The sequence below is a fragment of the Homo sapiens genome, chromosome 3, assembly GCF_000001405.40.
Source record: "Homo sapiens chromosome 3, GRCh38.p14 Primary Assembly".
NCBI classification, from domain to species: Eukaryota; Metazoa; Chordata; class Mammalia; order Primates; family Hominidae; genus Homo; species Homo sapiens.
Window position 1 is genome coordinate 142,868,629 of NC_000003.12, and position 22,586 is coordinate 142,891,214.

At 41.8% G+C, this 22,586-nt stretch overlaps 1 protein-coding gene and 1 long non-coding RNA gene across 2 annotated transcripts in view, besides 1 other annotated feature; one reads left to right on the forward strand and one right to left on the reverse strand.

Moving 5' to 3' along the window:
- PCOLCE2 (procollagen C-endopeptidase enhancer 2) overlaps nt 1–20,455 on the reverse strand; it is a 71,210-nt gene extending 50,755 nt beyond the window's left edge. Inside the window, exons 1-2 of the mRNA NM_013363.4 lie at nt 20,186–20,455; nt 19,041–19,149 (exon numbers count right to left, since the gene is read on the reverse strand). Of these exons, the coding sequence (NP_037495.1) occupies nt 19,041–19,149; nt 20,186–20,268 (192 nt within the window). The 5' untranslated portion in view covers nt 20,269–20,455. The remainder of the gene's footprint in view (nt 1–19,040; nt 19,150–20,185) is intronic.
- Nucleotides 19,636–22,139, forward strand: LOC124909443 (uncharacterized). Its single transcript, XR_007096122.1, has 2 exons — nt 19,636–19,831; nt 20,963–22,139. It is a non-coding gene; the product is annotated as an uncharacterized LOC124909443 (long non-coding RNA).
- Nucleotides 20,398–20,447: a silencer, noted in NCBI's record as "silent region_14791". NCBI's record gives its function as "represses an Ori minimal core promoter by ATAC-STARR-seq in GM12878 lymphoblastoid cells {active_cell/tissue: GM12878}" and the evidence as "EXISTENCE:reporter gene assay evidence [ECO:0000049][PMID:35858748]".
- Nucleotides 22,140–22,586: the final 447 nt, after the last annotated feature.

Here is a 22,586-nt window from a genome sequence, read left to right on the forward strand (position 1 = left end):
CCATTTTTTTCCCCTGCCAAAGCACTCACACCGTCACTCTCTTTAAATTAGCAGATCAGAATTAGTTTAGCCTGTGCGGTCTAACCCTAGCCAACAAGGGAACGAACGACACAGCAGCAGGGGCCACGTGCGTCAGGGATAAGAACCCCTTCCCCTCCCTTGTCAAGTGTGTGCTCACCATTGCTCCATCTGTAAGGGCGCACTATTCAATAGAAGTAACTTGCCTTGCTGAGAATTAAATGAAAATTTTATATTCGAATGCTATTTCTTTTGCGGCACCAAAACTTTATATATAATGGGGGTCAGACATGCCTCATTATACCCTCCTCCCTTTGGAATCCAGGCACAGGTGACCAGCATTAATATTAAAACAGAGACCTTGGCCGGGTGCGGTGGCTCACGCCTGTAATCCCAGCACTTTGGGAGGCTGAGGCAGGTGGATCACGAGGTCAGGAGATCGAGACCATACTGGCTAACACGGTGAAACCCCATCTCTACTAAAAATACAAAAAATTAGCCGGGCGTGGTGGCGGGCGCCTGTAGTCCCAGCTACTCGGGAGGCTGAGGCAGGAGAACGGTGTGAACCCGGGAGGTGGAGCTTGCAGTGAGCCGAGATCGCGCCACTACGCTCCAGCCTGGGCGACAGAGTGAGACTCTGTCTCAAAAAAAAAAACCAAAAAAAACAGAGACCTTAAGACTGACAAAACAGACTCTTTGTAGCAATAAGATATCAACATGACAGATAACAGGTCCGGAAAGAAATCAAAGTATTTTACCCCAAAATATATTTCTTTCATATATTTTGAAATGGCCTTGCAAAGCTGTCTGTTGGGGGAAAATCTACATTCTGTAGAAAATCTCCTTCCCTTTCCAGATCTTCTCCCTGATCCAGGAGAGAATTAAGAGTCTGGCACCTTTTGAAATCTGATAAAAAACACAGTCTATCCTCTCTGAAGCCTGTTATCTGGAGACTTCAACTGCATAATAAAAACCTTGGTCTCCACAACCCTTTATCTTAATCAGACACTTCTTTCTATTGATTCCAGGTCTTTAGATACTAATTTAACTCTTTCAGCCAACTGCCAAACAGAAAAATCTTTGAATCCACATATGGCCTAGAAGCCCCCACACTTCAAGTTTTCCCGCCTTTCTGGACCGAACCAATGTACACCTTACATGTAATGATTGATGCCTTATGTCTCCCTAAAATGCATAAAACCAAGCTGTGGCCCAACCAACTGGGGCACATGTTCTCAGGGCCTCCTGGGCCTGTGGCATGGGTCATAGTCCTATTTGGTTCAGAATAAATCTCTTCAAATATTTTACAGAGATTTACTCTTTTTGTCAACACCATCAATAGTAGGCCTGTTTTTAAAAAATTAAAATTTACCATGCTATCTTAAAATTAATACTACTTTCACATGAATGAGGGATAATTTTAACATATGTCAATCTGTTAGGTAATTATCACAAAGGCAGTCACTTTTTCGTTCTCTGTCTCTATAAGTTAGAAGATCCTAACTCAAAATAACAGGCTGTCAACGGTGGCAGCAAGTGCTTGCTAGCTTCATCAGATGGTTCTGGATAGTCAAATCAAATTAGGACCCAGAAGCAACAGAGTGATTCTTCATTACAAACTCCACTATTATGTAAAATGTTAGGTTGACGGATAGATCACACTCGAGATCTAAAAAGTGGACTGTTTAAATTTGGGCAAAAGCAATGAACGTGTCCCTGATTCTATCTCGGACAGCACTTAGCTCTAGAAAGTATTTTTCATGTTTTGCTGCAGCATCTGGGTAGGGTTTTGTGCAATAATAAATTACTGATTTCTCTGAAGAGTGAAGAAAAACATCAAGCGTTAGGAAGACTCCAAACTCTCAGCAACCAAGCCCTTTGACCACAGTTCAACCTCAACAGATTCTGACGCCTTATTTTCAATGTAAAATTGTGGCATTTTGGTTCGGAATAATAGGCTCAGGCTAGGAAAGAAACAGGATTTATTCCTGTGATACACCAGAGCAAGCCATTTGAAACAGAGTAAGTGTCTTTATTGCCATTATCAGTGAATGAGGCAATTTTTTTTTTTTTTTTTTTTACTATATACTGTTCTTCTTCTCAAAACCTAAGTCATGAGCAGCTTTATCTTCAGCAGCGAGCACACCTACACATAGTTGGATACAGCTACCCAGCTCCTTGAACTGCATGCTTTAAAGACATGGACTCACACCAGCTGCCATTTGATGTTTCCAATTTTTGTTACATCCTAAAGTACTGGTCCAAGAAGCAAACTGTTACCTGCTCCCTGTTCTCCCTGATGGTAAAGTCATATTTGGAACAGCAATCTGCTGTGACATCATCACCTGGGGTCTAATGTATAGCTGAGCTTAACATGTCAAAGACAGACCCCTGGCCTCCGCTGCCAAAGCCGCTCCACCTCTGTCTTCCCTGTACAGTTGATTGCATCTTCATCCTTCCAGTTTGCTCTGAGGTCATTCTTGACTCCTCTTTTTTCTCTTACACCCCTCGTCTTGTCCATTAATAATTTTTATTGGCTCTATTTTAAAATATATCCAGAAAACGGCCCATTCCCTTACCACCTCCATGGTTCCCATGCTGGCCCAAGCCCTCATTATCTCTCATCTGAATTACAACAAAAGGCTCCCAGCTGCTCTCCCTTCTTCCATTCTTGCACCCTATGATCTGTTCTCAGCACAGTATTCAGGGTGATCCTTTTAAATCACAGACACCTTATGGCACTCCTCTGCTTAAAATCCTGCAGTGTGTTTGAGTGGCTGTGGCTCTTAGATGGTTTCATTTTATGGGTCAACTTGGCTAGACTATAGGAAGTGCTTATTCAATCAACAGTAATCTAGGTGTTGCTGTGAAGGTGTTTTGTAGATGTGGTTAACATGTACAATCAGTTCACCTTAAGAGATTATCCTCGATAATGTGGGTGGCCCTCATCCAATCAGTTGGAAGGCCTTAAGAACAAAACTGAGGTTTCCCTGAGGAAGAAGAAATTCTGTCTCAAGACTACAGCGGTATCTTCTCACTGGAAGTTTTCAGCCTGCTGACTTGCACTACAAATTTCAGACTGGCTGCTCCCTAATCCCACAATCACATAAACGAATTCCTTGAAATAAAGCTCTTTATATGTGTATATAGCTGTGTGTATAGATATTCAATACACATATGTACTTGTATTAATATATACATACATATTTTTATATACATATACATAAACATTTATATATCTACATCTCCTATTGGTTCTACTTCTGGAGAACCCTGATACAGCCTCCCTGTGCCAAACATTGTCCATTTGCCCCTCCAGATCCACTCTCCTCCCATCTTCACCCTACTCTTCTTGGGTGGTTGACCTAAATGAATGCATCAACAATTGTCTTCCAGTTGCTTTTGGCCACGGGAAGCCCCTACAGGATACTGAAAACAGGGAGGAGAGTCCAGTCAGGGCATTTACTTTCCTGTCTCTTTCTCTGTGAGGTCACCTTGTGCTGACTCCTGGCTTCTAGTACCAACACCCTCCACACCTCCTTTGGGGACTAGAAGCAGTGACAGCCTGTCTGCCACTTTCTCTGTGTTACTGTACTATCCTTTGTAGCTTGCCTACTCTTCCTGGATAGTCCCTTTGTAAATAACCCCCCTTGAATCACTGTATTTTGACTGCGCTATTTTCTACGGGGGCCCTTACTGATAGGCTTTCCATTTCACTCACAATGGCCCACTGGGCTCTTCAGGATCTACCCCACTTCCTCCTCAACAACCTCAGCTTCTACAACCTCCTGCTTGTTCATCCCATAGGCCTCTTTGCTGCTCCTAGAACATCCCAGGCATGTAAAGCTTCTCAAGGGCAAGAGTCTCTGTTTGGCTCACTGATAATATCCCACGTGCCTAGAACAGTCCATGATAAGTAAATATTTGTTGTATAAATCGAATAAAATAATCTCATTGATCCCCATTCCAACATCCTTCCTTGTTGCATCCATAACAGGTGTTCCACCTTCTGTCCTCATATAGCTCACCAAATAACCCCTAAGGGAAAAAAAATCTTGCCTCCTGTTACATGGCTCCACATCACAAAGTGACAATGCCCGTTTCCCTCATATTTACTCCAGGGTGACTGAATACATATCTTGGGCAAGTGTGAAAATCACAATTTAGCCAGAGCCAAGTATCATCATCAAAAGGATAAGATTTACTATTAATTCATCCTCAGAATATATAAAGAATTTCCCCAAAAAAAGTGCTTTTATTTTCCCCCAAAAGATTTATGGTCTAAACGGAAAGAAATACTGAAAACTTAAATACATACCAAAGGTGATTTTATTTAATGTTATAAATGTTAGTTCAATATTCAATTCTATAAATGTTAGAATTATGATATAATCTCATCTCTATCATTCAACCTTATATTACTTACATTTTCATAAGCACATGTTGACTCTAAAAGAAAATGTTGGCTGGGCGCAGTGGCTCACACCTGTTATCCAAGCACTTTGGGAGGCTGAGGCAGCGGGATCACCCTGAGGTCAGGAGTTCAAGACCAGCTCGGCCAACATGGTGAAACCCCGTCTCTACTAAAAATAAAAAATTAGCCAAGTGTGGTGGCAGGTGCCTGTAATCCCAGCTATTCAGGAGGCTGAGGCAGGAAAATCACTTGAACCCGGGAGGCAGAGGTTGCAGTGAGACAAGATCGCACCATTGCACTCCAGCCCGGGCAACTAGAGTGAAACTCCATCTCAAAAAAAAAAAAAAAAGAAAAAAATTTTTTAAAGTTAACTACCTATATAATATACTCTCTTAATTCACATTAACTGTTAATCTATTTCCTTATTTGATGATTTGCAAGTTCAACCCAAAATGATTTTACACATATAATTAACAAAGTTAACACTAAAATTGCAGCATTATACTCTTTCATCTACAAGAAGCATAATACATATTTATATTTCAACTGACTAGCGGAATGTAAACAGAGAAAGCACATAGGAGCTTCAGTTAATGATGTATCTGGAATGTTCACCTATACTGGAAAGTGAGTATTCAGAAACCAACAATAAACCCAAACAGCCTGCTGCTTTGTTCATGTCACCGATGTTGGTACACTGACTGACTGATAGTCACTCAAGAGAATCATATGGTGAGAGATAATGACACACTCGGGGGGTGGAACGCAACTAGAGACATAGCAGGGGAGGACACAGGAAGAGAACATCTTTTTCAAATGTAGAATTCTACAGAGTACAAAAACTTAGAAGTCTCCTAATATGGTCTGGCTCTGGGTCCCCACCCAAATCTCATCTCAAATTGTAATCCTTACATGTTGCAGGAGGAGCCTGGTGGGAGGTGACTGGATCATGGGGGCGGTTCCCCCATGCTGTTCTCATGAAAGTGAATGAGTTCTCATGAGAGCTGATAGTTTGGTTTTATTTTATTTTATTTGAGACAGAGTCTCACTCTGTTGCCAGGCTGGAGTGCAGTGGCGCAATCTTGGCTCACTGCAACCTCCACCTCCCGGGTTCAAGCAATTCTCCTGCCTCAGCCTCTTGAGTAGTTGGGACTACAGGCACACGCCACCACACCCAGCTAATTTTTGTATTTTTAGTAGAGATGGGGTTTCACCATGTTAGCCAGGATGGTCTTGATCTTCCGACTTTGTGATCCGCCTGCCTTGGCCTCCCAAAGTGTTGGGATTAAAGGCGTGAGCCACCGCACCTGGCCGAGCTGATGGTTTTAAATGTGGCACACCCCCCTCACTCTCTGCACGATGTAAGACGTGCCTTGTTTCCCCTTCACCTTCCACCATGATTGTAAGTTTCCTGACACCTTCCCAGCCATGAAAAACCGTGAGTCAATTAAAACTCTTTTCTTTATAAATTACCCAGTCTCAGGTAGTTTTTTATAGCAGTGTGAAAATGAACTAATACATCTCCTTTTACCAGAAATCTTTGGAAACAAGTTGATACTTTTCTTCGGAGATTTATCATTTCTATGCTGTTCTGCCCAGAAGCAGGTGGATGGAGCTATGAATTGATTAATCAATTCATTCTTTCACTCACCTACTACTGTATGTGTCAACCACTATGTTAGCTACCAGGAAAAAGGCCTTGGCCTTAAGAGATTTATAGTTTAGTAGGGAAGGCAGATTAATAAACATGATTATAATACAGGGTGATAAGTGCTATAATAAAGATGTCCCCGAATGCTATGGGAACACAGAGGAAGTGGACATCAGGTGTGTACTAGGGTACACAGAGGTAGTTAGGAAGACTGTCTGATAATTCCCTTCTGACTTCATAATTCTGTTACTTCTAAGAAATACAGTTTTATTTGCAGATGTATGTAGTTGAGATTGATAGGGAATAATAAAATGATATATGCATTGCTAAGATTTATAGGAACAAATTTTCATATATCTAAGATTTATGGGGCATAAAATAAGTTCATTAAAATTATAATATCATAACAAAAACAAGCATATTGGGCATCTCCTGGAGTAGCTGCCTGGCTCCTAATGATCCCCTTGTTTAAAAAATATTTTAACCACAAATACACGTATCTTTAAACAAGGCGTAAGTTGTAACCACTAAAGCGCAATGGCTCAAGCTCCCAGCAGCTGATGACTGTGCCAGCATCCTCTTCAAAATGCCAGTTGTTTGGGAGCAACTCCAGGCGACATCTACATTGGCCTAGAAAGCAGTCTGGCTTCCTGGTAACAGTGTTCACCAGGTTTTTTCTCTTTTACTTCTGGAAAACAGTTTGGCGATTCCTCAAAACCTAAATTATCACATGATCCAGCAGTTCCACTCCTGACTACAAAATGCAAAGGAAGTGAAAGCACTGCATGGTTCAAAATACTCAAAATAGCCAAAAGGTAGAAGCACACCCAAGTGTCAATCAACAGATGAATGTATAAATGAAATGTCCTTGCTGATGGAAGTACTCTGAACAGACCGATGAAGAGGAAATCTCTGTCTATTCCAAGGGTGCTCCTTCTTGATGTTCTTAAGATTCCCCACAACAAAGGTTGCAGAGAGTTGTGAATGGAGATGATGAAAACAGTTTCCTCCCAACTCTGCACCACAGTGCAGAGTTCTGGCACCCAGAACCCAAGGCAACATTACTCATAAAAACAGACCCTTCAGCTCCCTCCTCCCCGCTTCACATCCCCAAAGCATCTCTCAAAAGTCAAAAACCAAAGAAACCAAACATAAAGAAGCAAACCAAACCTACCACCCTCACCACAGGAACTAACCTTAATCCATGAGCAAGGCCTTTCCATTCATAAACATCCAGGAGACATTTTGTGCTTTACTTATGATGGGCAAGAAGCCTCAGAGATACTGTCTGCTGCCACATAATAAATCATTGCACCCAAAGGAGTGGTGACCTCAGTTTCTCCAAGAACCATCAGTGGGTAGACTCTTTGCATCATCTAGGTTTCCACTCAAATGTCACCTCATCAGTGTCATTCTTACATCACCATCCTATTTTGTGGTTTCTCTCCTGCTTCTAGAATGTAAGCACCATTAGTGCAGGGACCTTCTCACTGTGTGCCCAGGATGTGAAACAGGCCATGGCACATAAGTGTTCAATAAGTATAATATTTCATGAAGAAATAATATTTTTTGAGTATTTACCATTTGCTAGGCACTGTTCTTAATGCTGTACACACAGTAATTTCAGTCCCAAAGCAATCCTATGAGGTAGGGAGTATCATTATCCACATTTTATAGATGAGGAAACTGAGGCACAGGGAGGTTAAGTAGCAAGCCCAAAGTCATACAGCTCGTAATTGTTACAGTAATCTCCTGCTGCACAACAAACCACCCCCAAATTTAGTGGCTTAAAATAATAATGTACTCTTATTTGTTATGGTTCTGTGGGTCACTGGTCTCAGCTGGATGGTTCTAGCTTGAATTCTCTCATGCATTTACTACCAGTTAGGAGCTTGGGCTTGAGTCATCTGAAGGCTCACTGGGCTAGCCCTTCAACATGACTTCACTCACATGGTTGGCACCTCAGCTGAGAAGACTGGAACTACTAGGAGCTTTCTGGGCCTCTCTCTCTCCACAAAGCCTCTCTACATGGCTATGTTGGGCATCCTCACAGCATGGTGGGCCTTATATGGCAGCTTCTTATGTTCTTGCCCCAGAAGTCATGCAATGTCACCTCTGCTCCATCCAATTTGTTCCAAAAGCAAGCCCAGATTCAATGCTGGGGGATGCCAGAAAAAGGCATGAATACCAGGAGGTGTGGTGATTGGGGAGGTCATCTTTGGAGACTCACCAGCACAACAGTGGAACTAGCATTTGAACCAGGCTGTCTGGCTCCAGAAATTACACTCTTAGAAAATACACTCTTAACCACCATATCATGTTGTGTCTCTATTAGGAATAAATGAATACAGTCTTTACTTAATTTATGTAATTAGTGGGGCCTATTCTGATGATTTGGGACTCCAAAGGTAAATTAAAGTCTCCATCTATAAACAGAGAAAATTATTTGCAATTTTTAACTGACAATCTTTTCTCTACTTTGAAAAGTCTTAACGGTTATGGAATGCCCTTGGTTGATGATGGGGTAGGCAGTGGCTGGTTGAAGTAGGGAGGGTTTGGAAGCAATTCTGTGGACAAAGTCCATGATCTTATGAAAGATCATATTTTAAATGAAGAAAGGACATAGTGAGTAGGAATGGGTATTTCCAATGGGAACTCCCCATGCTCCAAATGGATTACCAACCAGCTTGAAACAAGTTGGCTTGTAGACAAGTTCTGCACAAACACCACACTTCTATTCCTTATTACAGACCTGGAAGGGAGGTTAAAAAATAAATAAATAAAGCAACACTACCATTTATTGAGTGCCTGCTTGTGCCAAGCACTGTGCTAAGGGACTTTCATCTACTGCCTCCTTCAGTCTTCAGATTAACCTTACAAGGCATGTTTGACCATTATATCCAGGATACTAACTTTAGAAAGTCCCAGAAACTTAATCACATACCTAGTAAATTAAATGGCTGAACAGGGATTTGAACTATGTCAGTCTGACTCTCCAATGCCCATTCTTCTAGTAACTGAGCAGTATCACACGTACTACCCTGAACCATGGTCCCTGTCACCCTGTGCCACTGTTCATTGTTTCTGGGACATCTCCCCAATGAGTAAGAGCCTCCTTACCTCGCCCAGCCCCATTCAGGAATGTGATTTTTCAATTATTGCTGTTTCTGTGCCCAATCCAGCACCTGATCTCTGGTAGGTACTTTACAGTTTTAATGAATGAATGAATGACAATTTATTTGGAGGAGCTCAACTGTAGCCCAGGGATTTCAGAAGGTCTGTGTCTAGCAATCAAACCCTTATCATTCATTTCCAGGAGCATTTAGCAGGAGTAAAATTGCCCCTGGGTTCCCTGTGCTTTTCTTCTTGACAGTCTGGTCCATGTAACAGCCCATCTTTGATTAAATGGTCTCTCCCTCCCTTCACATTTTTGAAAACACTATTTTATTATATGCAGTACTCAGGAGCAGCTTGGGGGTGAGGTGGTAAAAGAGAGGTGATATTTAGTGGCAGGGCTTGTGCTTTGGGCAGTTATAATTCCAACTCCCCACTTCTCTGTGGGTGTTCCATTTATTTCGGGATGTTTATATTTGTTTCTTAAAGACTTGCCATACTGACTCTCGTGATCGACCAAATAATGTATCTGAGAAAAACACTTATTTTCTCCAAAGTTCCTAGACTAAGAAACTCAAGAGTCCCTCAAAGTGCTATTGCCACCGTTGATAAAGCTGTTAACTCATAAGGTGCAACTGTCTAAGTTGAGAGTGGGGATTACAGTTTTCGTAAGATTGAAGAACAATCCATACACTAACATTTCTACGTACAAGAAACATGGGAAAGCGACAGCACACAAAAGCACTCTCCTGACTCTAAGCAGAGCAATGTGGGAAAAGAAATCCCACTTTGGGAGACCAAGGCGGGCCGACTGACTTGAGGTCAGGAGTTTGAGATCAGTCAACATGACAAAACCCTATCTCTACTAAAAATACAAAAATTATCCAGGCGTGATGGTGGGTGCCTCTAGTCCCAGCTACTGGGTGGCTGAGGCAGGAGAATCTCTTGAATCCAGGAAGCGGAGGCTGCAGTGAGCTGAGATCACGCCACTGCACTCCAGACTGGGTGAAAAGTGAGACTTTGTCTCAAAAAAAAAAAACCCGAAAGAACTTCTTAGAATTAGGAGCCCTTTAAATGTTTCTCTGGTCTTCAGCATTAAGCAACCAATAAATGAGACTGTTCCCTTTTTTACTGTCAAAACCTGAGAGATTTTAAGGCATTTTCAAATTTATGGTACAATTCTTATTTGCCATAATTTCACATCATAAATTTAACTCTGGAGGTGGTCAAGGGATATAAAAGTAATTTAATCTGTCTTTTAAATAATCTTAAAAATCCTTTCTGAGTGTTTTAATTATACTAAATGCCTTCTTGATTTACACTACTTTAAAAAAAGTGTTATCTTTATGTTCTATTTTTATAGTGATGTTTCAGGAAAGAATGATTTTTGTTTGGTATGAATATGTTATTAAAGAGAATCCCTTTCAGAAAAAAAAAATACATGAAGACTTCATTTTCATGTTTGCTCATTTTCTTTTCTACTCATTAAACCTCTTCTAAGACATCTGCTTGAACACAGCACTAAAAATACAAGCAGTACAAATAAGTATATTTATAAAACATAAAGTTTTCAATCAATAAAAACACTTGATTTCCGTGTGAAAGAGCAAAGAAAAAGAAAACAAAAACAAGCAACAGAAGCCTTCAAAAGCAGGCAGAAAGCTAAACAAATTTAGAAAAACTGGACTGAGGCCCCAGTGGGAAAATGTCACCTACAGTGCTTGCTTATTTATTTAGGATTTATATTTGCCCTGCTTCCCAGAAAAATTTAAGGCAATAATGAAAACTTTTTAATTTTTCTGCTATCTTAATAACTGACATCTAATTGAACAGCTTATGTGCCATAAGAATTGTAAAGTTTTGGCCGGGCACGGTGGCTCACGCCTATAATCCCGGCACTTTGGGAGGCCGAGGAGGGCGGATCACGAGGTCAGGAGATCGAGACCATCCTGGCTAACACGGTGAAACCCCGCCTCTACTAAAAAATACAAAAAATTAGGCAGGCGTGGTGGGGGGGCGCCTGTAGTCCCAGCTACTGGGGAGGCTGAGGCAAGAGAATAGTGTGAACCCAGGAGGCAGAGCTTGCAGTGAGCCGAGATCATGCCACTGCACTCCAGCCTGGGCGACAGAGCGAGACTCCATCTCAAAAAAAAAAAAAAAAAAAAAGGAATTGTAAAGTTTCCAAATTATACTTTCTGGATTAAAAAATAAACAACCCCACCCCCCCAAAAAAAACCAAGCTATGGTGCTCTTATCCCATTCATATAGCCTTGGATATGCAAACATTTTCTGTTAGTTATACTCATTTTTACTATTCTTACATAAAAATAATACTAACTCAAGCATTGGGTTAAATTACTATTCAGGCAACTGAAATAATGAGCCTAGTGCAACCAATGTATACATATACATTAAAAAAAAAAAAAGCCCACAGTTAAGATTGAAATTTAAGTCTCTATATAATTCTAAATCCTACGTGCAGTTTAAAGCCAAGAAATATGTGTTTAAAGTCAAAATTCCATTCCCCTATCTGTCCTGCTGTGGTTATACCAGGCAAATAATAGTTACAGTAATTTTAGAACCCCTTGCCATACCCTTAGGTATAATTAAGTGACTTCAAAGTTGAGTTCCTGCCTAAATTCACTATTTGTTTTCTCAAATTATACACCCAGCACTGATCTTACTAGACTATCACTATGTCTCAATTTTCACAAACCCTTTGCTCACCACTGCTGACTTTCTTCTCATGAAGCCATATAAAAGTTATCGGGAAGACATAAATCCCAATCACATTTTTAATCTACTAGTTCCTTCAACTAAATAGGAATGCCATTTAAAATTGATCAGGCATCTGGAGGATGGATTAAGTATGATGACTTTAACATATGTAAGTTATAAAATTGCCCTCAAGGCAATGTTACAGGAATGGCTTCACGTAATTGTTTATTAGGCATCTTTGGAAATATCAAGGCACATGTAAAATAACCCTGGGAAGTCAAACAAATCCTTACAAAGGATACAGTAACAACTTATCCAGTCTTAGAGTAGCACACAAGTAAAACGGGTCATACTCTTTGCACGAAGCAATAATTATTTTTATCTTAACTAATCTTAAGATCTTCAATAATTTTTAAAAGTGAAAATAAGCTTTACTCCAAATTATCAACACTTAAAACTGCTTACAGTGGGCATTATAATAATTTACACACATAACTGTTACCAATTCTCTTGTCTAACTGCTCCCCACAAGATTATAAACTCCCTGAGGACAGAAATTATGCCTTGTCTTTCTACCCCCACAGTCCAGTGCAATGCCTACTACACAGGAAGTGCTCAAAAACTCTTGGTGAATATTTGATAAATAAGTGCATGAGAGTATAATGGTATCCCTGAGTCAGAAAGTTGTGTGCTACCCTTTGTATACCATTTACAAGTATGACATTAGTTAAGACACAAGTTCTTTAGACTTCAATTTCCCCATTTATGAAATGGTCATACTAAGGTCTGTCACCCCAACCCCAGAGAATCAGATGCAAATAAAATAATTCAATATATTTGAAGGTATACCAAAAACTATATATACTATTATTATTTTTAGTTCCATGATTTCTATCACAAGTATACAGTCATGCATTGTTTAATGATGGAGATATATTCTGAAAAATGCATCATTAGGTGACTGTTGTGCAAATATCACAGAGTGCATTTATACAAACCTAGATTGTATAATCCACCACACACCTAGGCTATATAGTATAGCCTATTGCTCCTAGGCTACGACACTGTACAGCATGTTCCTGTACTGAACACTGTAGGCAAATGTAAAACAATGGTAAATATTTGTGTATCTAAACACAGAAAAGGTACAATAAAAATATGGTAATATAATCTTATGGCACCACTGTCATATATGTGGTAGTCATTGACTGAAATATTGTTACGGGATATGTGACTGTATTTCACTCTAGCTGAACAGAAAAACAGATGTAATTATAAAGATGGTAATACTTGAGTTACCTGGAGAATCTGAAGATCTTTCTATGTAAGACAACTTACGCTTTTTTCTTCATGGAGTAGCTAAATAAGAAAAATTTTGCCACATACTTTTCACTTTAATGGGACTGCCTCTACCCATTGCCACATTCTCCTCCCATTTCTGTCAAAGGTCTGTGACTCTCTGGCCCTCCCACATCATCATCATCGTCGTCATCATCATCATCATCAGACAGGGTCTTGCTCTGTCACCCAGGCTGGAGTGCAGTGGCACAATCATAGCTCACTGCACCCTCTGACTCCTGGGCTCAAGAGATCCTCTCATCTCAGCCACCCAAGTAGCGAGGACTACAGATGCATACAACCACTCCTGGCTAATTTAAAAAAAAAAAAATTGCAGAGACAGGGTCTCTTTACGTTGTTCAGGCTGATCTTGAACTCTGATCTTGAACACCTTGCTGCAAGCGATCTTCCTCCTCGGCCTCCCAAAGTATTGGGATTACAGGTGTGAGCCACCAGGCCTGGCCTCTCCCATATTTTCTTCATAAAGGGATAAAAAGTTGTATTCTAGGTGGACCCCAAGACTAAATTTTTGCTCTATGTTTGCTGATTTTTCTCAGGCTAGATTTATGCTGAGAATAACTGAAACCTTAAATAATTGGCTAATTTCAGTACTTTTAAATTATAAATAATAAAAACCTAATGATTTTTAACAATAGGACCACATACATGGATTGCCTCATTTTATGTTTGTTTATCATTATTATTATACTTTAGAGAAGAGGTCTCACTCTGTCGCCCAGCCTGGAGTGCAACGGTGTAATCACAGCTCACTCCAGGAGCCTTGAACTCCTAGGCTCAAGCGATCCTTCTGCCTCTGCCTTCCAAAGTGCTGGGATTACAGGCATGAGCCACTGCACCTGGCCAGATCATCGCCTTTTAAAAACAGATTTGTAAATTATGCCCAGTTTTAAATCTAAGAACAGAATCAATTCCAGCGATCTCTGCATAACAATTGCTGTTTCAGTTAGATAACATAACAGCAGTTGCATTAGACATTCAGATGTGATATTTGGTTTTAAGTTTGGAAACCAATTTTAGGCAGGGCGCAGTAGCTCACGCCTGTAATCCCAGCACTTTGGGAGGCCGAGGCGGGTGGATCACGAGGTCAGGAGATCGAGACCATCCTGGCTAAGATGGTGAAACCCCATCTCTACTAAAAATACAAAAAATTAGCTGGGCATAGTGGTGGGCGCCTGTAGTCCCAGCTACTTGGGAGGCTGAGGCAGGAGAATGGCATGAACCTGGGAGGCGGAGCTTGCAGTGAGCGAGATTGCGCCACTGCACTCCAGCCTAGGCAACAGAGCGAGACTCCGTCTCAAAAAAAAAAAAAAAAAAAAAGGAAACCAATTTTAAACAAAAATTCCTATATACCTGTTCAAGGAGAGTTCCCAGAAGATTCTAGGCTTTAAGTTTCCTCTGGTTTGCAGTTACTATAAACAAAGCTTCAGCTGGTTTCACTCAGCCACCCATACCATATGCAGCCAAAGTCAAACTCTAAATAGAGTTGCTTTCACAAGGTCTTATTTTTGCTATTAATGTCTTTTTCTTTTTTTTTGAAATGGAGTCTCGCTCTTGTTGCCCAGGCTGGAGTGCAATGGCATGATCTCGGCTCACTGCAACCTCTGCCTCCCAGGCTCAAGTGATTCCTCTGCCTCAGCCTCCGAGTAGCTGGGATTACAGGCGCCCACCACCACACCCAGCTAATTTTTGTGTTTTTAGTAGAGACAGGGTTTCACCACGTTGGCCAGGCTGGTCTTGAACTCCTTACCTCAGGTGATCCACCTGCCTCAGCCTCCCAACGTATGTCTACTTTTCTTTAAAAAAAAAAAAAACACATATTTGTGTCGAATCATCAATATGTATCTCTAATTCCATTATGGGAATTATAAAATGAACAAGTTATGAATGAAAATATCAAGGAACAGAGGTATTGATGATTTGCCGAGTTTGCAATGAATTTATAATGAAGCTATTAACGGAATGGTGATCTTTATGCCAGGGGTGCCTGTGGAGCACAGAACGTAAGATGCCTGGTGGGCTTTGTCTCACTTCCCACTCAGGGCCTTGGGAACACATCCTAGCAGGTAGCTCCCCATGTGTTTATCACCTCTAAATTCGCCTATGTGTCTCCTGCACCCAGCACCATGCTTCATGGGCTCTTCTAAATGTGTCCTGCCTATGTTGCAGTGAAATACATCACACCAGCTGTGTTTTTGTTCACAGTGGTCCACTCTCCCCTACTTCTTTTATGGATCTCAGAGATTTTTTACTGTTGTCTCCTGCATACAATCTCAAACTGCAGAAGAACCACTGTAATAGAGGGGTCCAGGTGGTGGGATGTCAACTTTTGGAGTTTCATTTCTTGCTGCAGGGCTTAATACAGGTGGGAGTTATTGGTTCTGGTTCTTAAATAAATTAGGGTGACTTATGCCTCACCCCAACCCTATTGTTCTTCCAAGCCTGCTTAGAAGACCAGTCACTACTTTCCAAAGGATTATATATACCTTAGCTGTCAAATCACATTTAACTCATACCCACGTCCCCGTATTTGAGAATTAGGGGATTTTATGCAGATGCCTTTTAGGTTATAGTCCCCAGAATCAACTCCTACAGTAAACTAAGAAACTCTCAACCCCATCATGGATTACAAAATATTCAACTATTTCTTAACACCCAAATTCTCTAATTTAGTCTCTAAGCATACATTTTTGAGAACACATACAGTAAAAGTAAAAAACCTAAGACCTGTTAAGGCCATCAACTCTTGGTGATAAAGCTGAGTCAAGAGTCTTGAGTTCCAGTTACAGCTCCAACAACTACAAAGAACCAGTAGCAGCTTCCCTATTTGCAAAGCAGAAGTACAACTAAGCAGCACAGAGCACCTCTGTCCTCAACATTTTACGTGAGTAAAATTAAGCATAAAATTTTTCTATTAATAGCACAGCACTGTCCACAAGAAAAATTGTGATGACAGAAATACTATATTACATATTGTCCAGTAAGGCAGCCACTATCCACATGTGGCTATTGAGCACTTGAATGTGGCTAGTATGACTAAGAAACTAAATGTTTAACTTAATTTACATTTAAATAGCCAATACAGTGTGTTGGAACAATGCAGCTGTCTAAGAAATTGCTATAAAAATTTTAAAGTACTATAATGTAAGGACACATCTAAATTTCCAATCTGCAGGCTGTACTTTCGCATCAGAAAGTCCAACACGAAGGACTGGAAGTTTGGTGGTAACAACTAGGATTCACCTTTCTTAAAGCAAAAGTTAAAATCAGACATTTCCCATTCTTGCATTGATATGATAGAGTTTAATGAAAACCATTTAGCGGTGAAAGCTACCATGCTGGGACACATCTCCAGTTTGGACGAACAGAATGGGAGGCCAGTGAGTGAAAGCAAGATATTTCCCCCCAGCTACAGGAACTACAGTTTAAGGACCACTCTGAGGCTTTCCCATCTCCAGCGGCCTCTGTGATATTTTAATAAAAGTGATACTGAATCACTCAATGGGAACACTATTCTTGGTTTACTGACTGCAGGAACAGAAAAATGGGCTGGACCAACCAGCGTGGGAAAAACCTTTAATAGATGGCCTTGGACAAGGCCATAGTAGAGCACAGTCCTGTCTGGAATGGCTAAGCAGGGAGACAGAGCCTGGTGCATGTATCCTTCTAGCTGGTGCCACTATATCCTAACCGCAGGCAGAGCTGCTGAGAAAACACTGTGGGCAGAAGACTCCGCATTTCTTCATCTTCTCTGCTACCACCTTGTCTACTCCACCATCTTCCCTCTCCTGGATACCACAACAGCTTCCTAATTGGTCTCTCTGCCTCTACTCTTAACTCCCTACAGTTCATCTTCCACGCAGACACCAGATAAGCTCATTCCTCTGCTTAAGATCTTCCAGTGACTCCTACTCAAAACAAAATTCAAACTCTCCACCGTGGCCTACAGAGTCCTGTTTACCTTCTTCGCTTCTCTTCCCACTGTCCCCTTGCTCATTCCATTCCAGCCACTCCAACCTCCTTAATTTGTTCTTCAGACAAATCAAGCTTCTTCCCACTCAGGCACTGAGTTGAAGCATTTTACACTATCTCATTTTGTCTTCACAGTAATCCTAAGGTTTAAAGGAGGTAGATCCTGGACACACAGTTTATGGCGGTGAAACTGGAATTTGAATCCAGGGAAGTGACTGCTGAGCTCACAGGCTTTCCCTTCACAGGACATCCAGATGGAGCATCCATTTAACTTCCCCACTCCCACACAGGAAATCATGCCTCTCCTGAGGCAAACCGTTCCTTTATCAAGGAAAGCTTTCACTGGACGTGCCCCCCAACCCCAGTCAAAGTGTAAAGTCACATCAACCTGTCCGCAATACTCAGAACACATGGCCAACCATGAATTTCTACTTGGGCACATGACGCCTCTGAGCCATTGATTTTCTAGGGTCGTTTAAAACTTATGGCCATTTAATTACATTTAAAACACAATCACGACATGAAAATCAAGCTGCTTTTATTTTTGTTTCAGAGACTTATTTGACATTTATGTTAATAGTATTTCAAACTTATTTTCTATGACTTCTTTCCTGGCCACATGTGCTATAATAACATAATGAAATCTGTACCAGTTTGTGACATGGTTGGCATTTTACAAGAGGCCGTCAAGGCATGTAAGAGCTGAGTTTTATATTATGGAAGGGGACCTCTCATATCTGCCTGCAAAATGACCTCAGTGGGAATACCTTATTGCAAAGTAGGTTTTACTTTTACATAAAGTTGGGCTTCCCGACTGTCTGATCAAGTCAATTTCTATAATTGTTTCAGGCCTCAGCTTCCCCATCTATAAAATAGGGATGATAATAGATACTTTCTCATACAGTTGTTTTGAGGATTCTGGGTGATTATACTTGCTAACTACTTGGCATGGTAAATGCCTGGCACACAGTAACTGCTAGTTTACACATTCAGTGGGGGCTACTTTTTAAAAAATCTAAGTCCTCCAGTGGCACAATCTGACTGAAAGAAGCTCTCAGTGAACCAACGTATTCAATTACTAAACAACTTCCCAACAACGAAAAAGTGAAGAAGGTAACAGTCAATGCTATGCTGACTGGAAAGATGACTCACTCTAGTTGACTCTAAATCAGTTAAAAAATATATGGCTGTCTCTAAATCCAGCTTATCTTGACTCAGCATAATCTATGTTATTACTAATCAGCATGGACTTTTTATTGGCCCTTGGCTGCTATTTAGATTCCCACCCCCCCATTCTCTATTCTTAGACTGCCTTTAGAGGTGGTTTCAACCCAGGAACATTAAGTGGGCTTTTTTTATTTTTTTTCTTTTTCCTTTCCTAATGAGCATAGAGTAGTCAAAGCACTATCTTTGATCTTCCATTTCCCACTGGGAATTTATGAAGGCACGAGCAACAAAAAACTTATGAAGGTCATTACAACAGGCCTTTGACTGAAAACAGCTTTAATTATGAATCTATAAAACTCAACTGAGTCACACTGGGCTTTCAGAAACACATCTGCTCTGAGAATTTATTCCTTCAAGCATTATCTTGTGCCCTTTGTAATCACTAATGCAGGACACGACTAGATCTATTATATTAATAAAAATCTTCCCAATAGTTGGGGTAAATCCAACATTTCACTATTTCAGGCATTTGCCTCTTACTCAAATCCTAACACCAGAGGAAAAAGGCAGCAGCCTCACACTGTTGCCAACACCCACTTCCAGGAGAATACCTTTTTAAAAAATGCTTACTGTGATTTTCCAAGTACATTTGCTATTTGGAGGGTACACTCCAGGAAAACCTTCACTGCCAATAAATCCAGACTCTCCAGTAAGAATGCCACCACATGTGAAAACAGGTCTGGGAACATAAAAGAAGAAAAGATAATGTAATTTGAAACATGGTCTAACAATCTGATGTTACCTTCAGAAAGGTGTAGCCTATTAATATAAATAAAAGTTAATGTTGATTAATCAATGCTTGCACCATATAAGGGATCTGAAAATTTGCTAGCTCCTAGAATATTTAAATTATAGCCTGACAAAGCATTCAGTCCAGCGCCATCTGTCTCCATCATAATAACACAAGATTATATATATGTATAATCAAGTCCTCGGCATTGTGGCAAAGTCTTGTAGGAAAATGGTAAATACATCAATTTAACTGGGGGAGTGGGAGAGAAGGTAAGAGCCAGGCTGAATGAGAAGCATGGTTTTAAAGAAAGACAGGCAAGCAATTGGTTAATATAAAAAAAGTTTGTCGTTCCCATATTTGGAGAGATGCCCAGTTCTCCTCCCCCTTTCTGAAAATCACTCGCCATTGGCAGAGCTTCCCATCGAAAGGGAGGCTGATGTTGATGGAGGCTGAAGAGGTGATGCCAAAGTTGGCCACCGGGCAGGTCCCACAGCCCAGCTCCTGGGGCCTTCCAGAGGTTGGCGAAGAGTTAACTTTCCGGAGCGGCTCCCTAGGCGCCGCGCCGCTAGGGTTGTTCCCTAGTTTACGTCTCTGGGCAAAGCCTCTCGGGGAAGGAAAAAAAACAGCGGTAAACCAAAATCCACATATTTGGGCCCCAGTGCTTCCCTCTGGCCCCATAGACACGAGGAGAGGGGAGACACAAGTCAGATTAAGCCCCGCCACGTGGTGGCCAAGCCAGCTGCAGGGCCATCCGGCAGGCCGGGCTGGGGACCCAGGAGGGAGCCCCGCGAGCAAGGATGGGTCCCGAAGTCCCGGGCTTAGCCTACCCGAGGGTGGCGGACGCCTGCACCGCGCGGGAGCGCAGGGTCGAGCGCTGGGTCACCCAGGCGCGCCGAAGCGGGTTGAGTAAAGCAGCAGGCGAGGCTGCAGGGGTGGAGGAAGGGAAAGGAGAGAAAGGGAGCCCGGGCAGGGGTCGCGTTACCTCTCTGGGGACTGCTGCCGCGAGAGCTGGGTGGCGGCAGCCAGCAGCAGGCAGAGTGGCGCCCAGGCGTTCGCGCCCCTCATGGCAGCGTAGACGCTCGGGGTTTGCACCCCACGGCGCGCGCGCCGGCACACACGCCCCTCCGCACCCACCGCGCTCACACCGCCGCTCACACTGGCAGCAGCGCTGGCTCACACCGGCGCTCGGCTGCCCGCGCGCTCCCTCTCACGCGCGCACCGCCGCGGGGCGGCCCAGGTAGCCGGGGGATACGCGGCCGGCAGGGCGGAGGCACTTTTAAAGGCGATTATGGTGCCGTCTGACTCGACGCTTAGTTTCCCCTGAGGAGCTGCTCTGGCAGCCACAGGCCACTGCTGAATATCCCGTTTGTTCTCCGGCGGCAGGAGGGGCGGCTCCGAGGCCAGAGCCGCCCCCTCTCGTGGGGCGGGCGAACGTCTCCTCCCGGCACCCCGGGACCGACGGGTCCTCTCTCGTCCAGCCCTCAGGGACCCCGGGGAGAAGAGGAACCCCTTGCGGAGTGGCACCCCAGCGGCCCGGGCCCCGACGCCCAGAGACGATTCTCAGGGAGGGCTTCTGGTTTTGCTTTGGGGAATGTTTTTCCCAGTTGCTTTTAAATAAAAAGTAATAGCGCTTGCTGGCTGCTGGAAAGCCTGGGGGTCCTTCTTTGTCTCCTTCAAAACCCAGATCCAAGGAAAGAAAGGGAAAAGGGATTTTATTGTATTTTAACTTCTGTGCTTATTCTCCTCTCTCTCTCTCTAGATACTTTTCTTTTTTTTACTGGTATGACAATGACAAGGAAGACAGTCTCTGTGCCGGGATTTAAACACGGGTTTTCAGGCGAGCGATTTCTGTGTGAACTGTCATTAAATGTCAGATAATGAAGACGGAACCAAATCAGCAAATCTCACCATCCCATGTCATGTTCTGAAAATGGTGTTTCTCTGCTTGCATCTCTCTGTTCTTAGACCTTTCCAACAGCATCTTTCTGTGGTATTAACGGGTTAAAATTTACGGAGAATTCGTTTTTCTTAGACGAACAATTCTAGCCTTGTGGAATCAATACTCTCTTTTACTTAATTACAGAAATATAATTTTAAACATTTATTTTGTTAAGAGCTTCCCAATAACCAGGGATTAATAAAAGAATGACAGGAACAGACTAGATTCATAGAGATTTTTAATAATCACCAGCTATGGGAGATACAGCTTAACTTTGATGCCTCACGTTGTTCCTTCTAAATTGTTTTCACCTTTCTAAGCAAGAAAATTAAGTATTAAAGTAGTTCTTATCGAGACTTTATTTCTAATAATGAGCTGTTAAGAATCTAAACACGGGTGGGCGCGATGGCCCACGCCTGTAATCCCAGCACTTTTGGAGGCCGAGGCGGGCGGATCACGAGGTCAGGAGTTCGAAACCAGTCTGGCCAAGATGGTGAAACCCCGCCTCGACTAAAAATACAAAAAATTAGCCAGGTGTTGCGGTGTGCGTCTGTAATCCCGGGTACTCGGGAAGCTGAGGCAGAAGTATCGCGTGAACCCGGGAGGCGGAGGTTGCAGTGAGCCGAGATCACGCCATTGCACTCCAGCCCCGGGCGACAGAGTGAGACTCCATCTCAAAAAAGAAAAAAAAAAAAAAAAGAACCTAAACACTCCTGGCAAGGAAGTAAGTAAAACTGGCTACAGGAAATATTCTGACTTTTCATAGTGAGTGCACCCTGAAGCCTATACTAGGAACCAGAATATACGGACAGGACTTAGATTATCTTACCATTTTTTTAAAAAGTGAAGGCAAAAACATCATAAAGTACAACTTTCAAAACTTCTCTACAGGCACCACACCCTTTATGACATTAAAAAAAAGGGTGACAGAATTTGGCAAACTGCTTTATATCCTGAAACACTCTCAACCCAATAAAAATGTCTTTAAAACAGGGAAGAGGAGAATAAATGGTTGTTGATTTTGCACGCATTTCAAGAATATGCTATCTAATAGCATAAGTGTTTTTAGATAATTGTTTATTTGAAAGTCATAGTTTTAAATTATAAAGGGAAATATTGCTCAATTCACTTTCTGGTAATGATTTGCAGTCCTCGTAAACCAGAAAATACTTCATTCAGGACTAAGCTAAGTTTTCAAAATTTAAAATAAATAACAAAGTATTAAATGTGCCTAAATAGGAAACTATTTGAACTAAAATACACAGCCATTTCTTAATTTATAGATTGATGACTGTGTTCATATGCTCACTAAAGAGTTAGGATTTTAACACCAATCATTCTGTTGTTGACACTCATAAGACATTGATTTTACCATGTGATTTTAGAATTTACTAAAACCCATATTATTGGCTCTTAAAAACACATATTTGACTTGGAACTACAG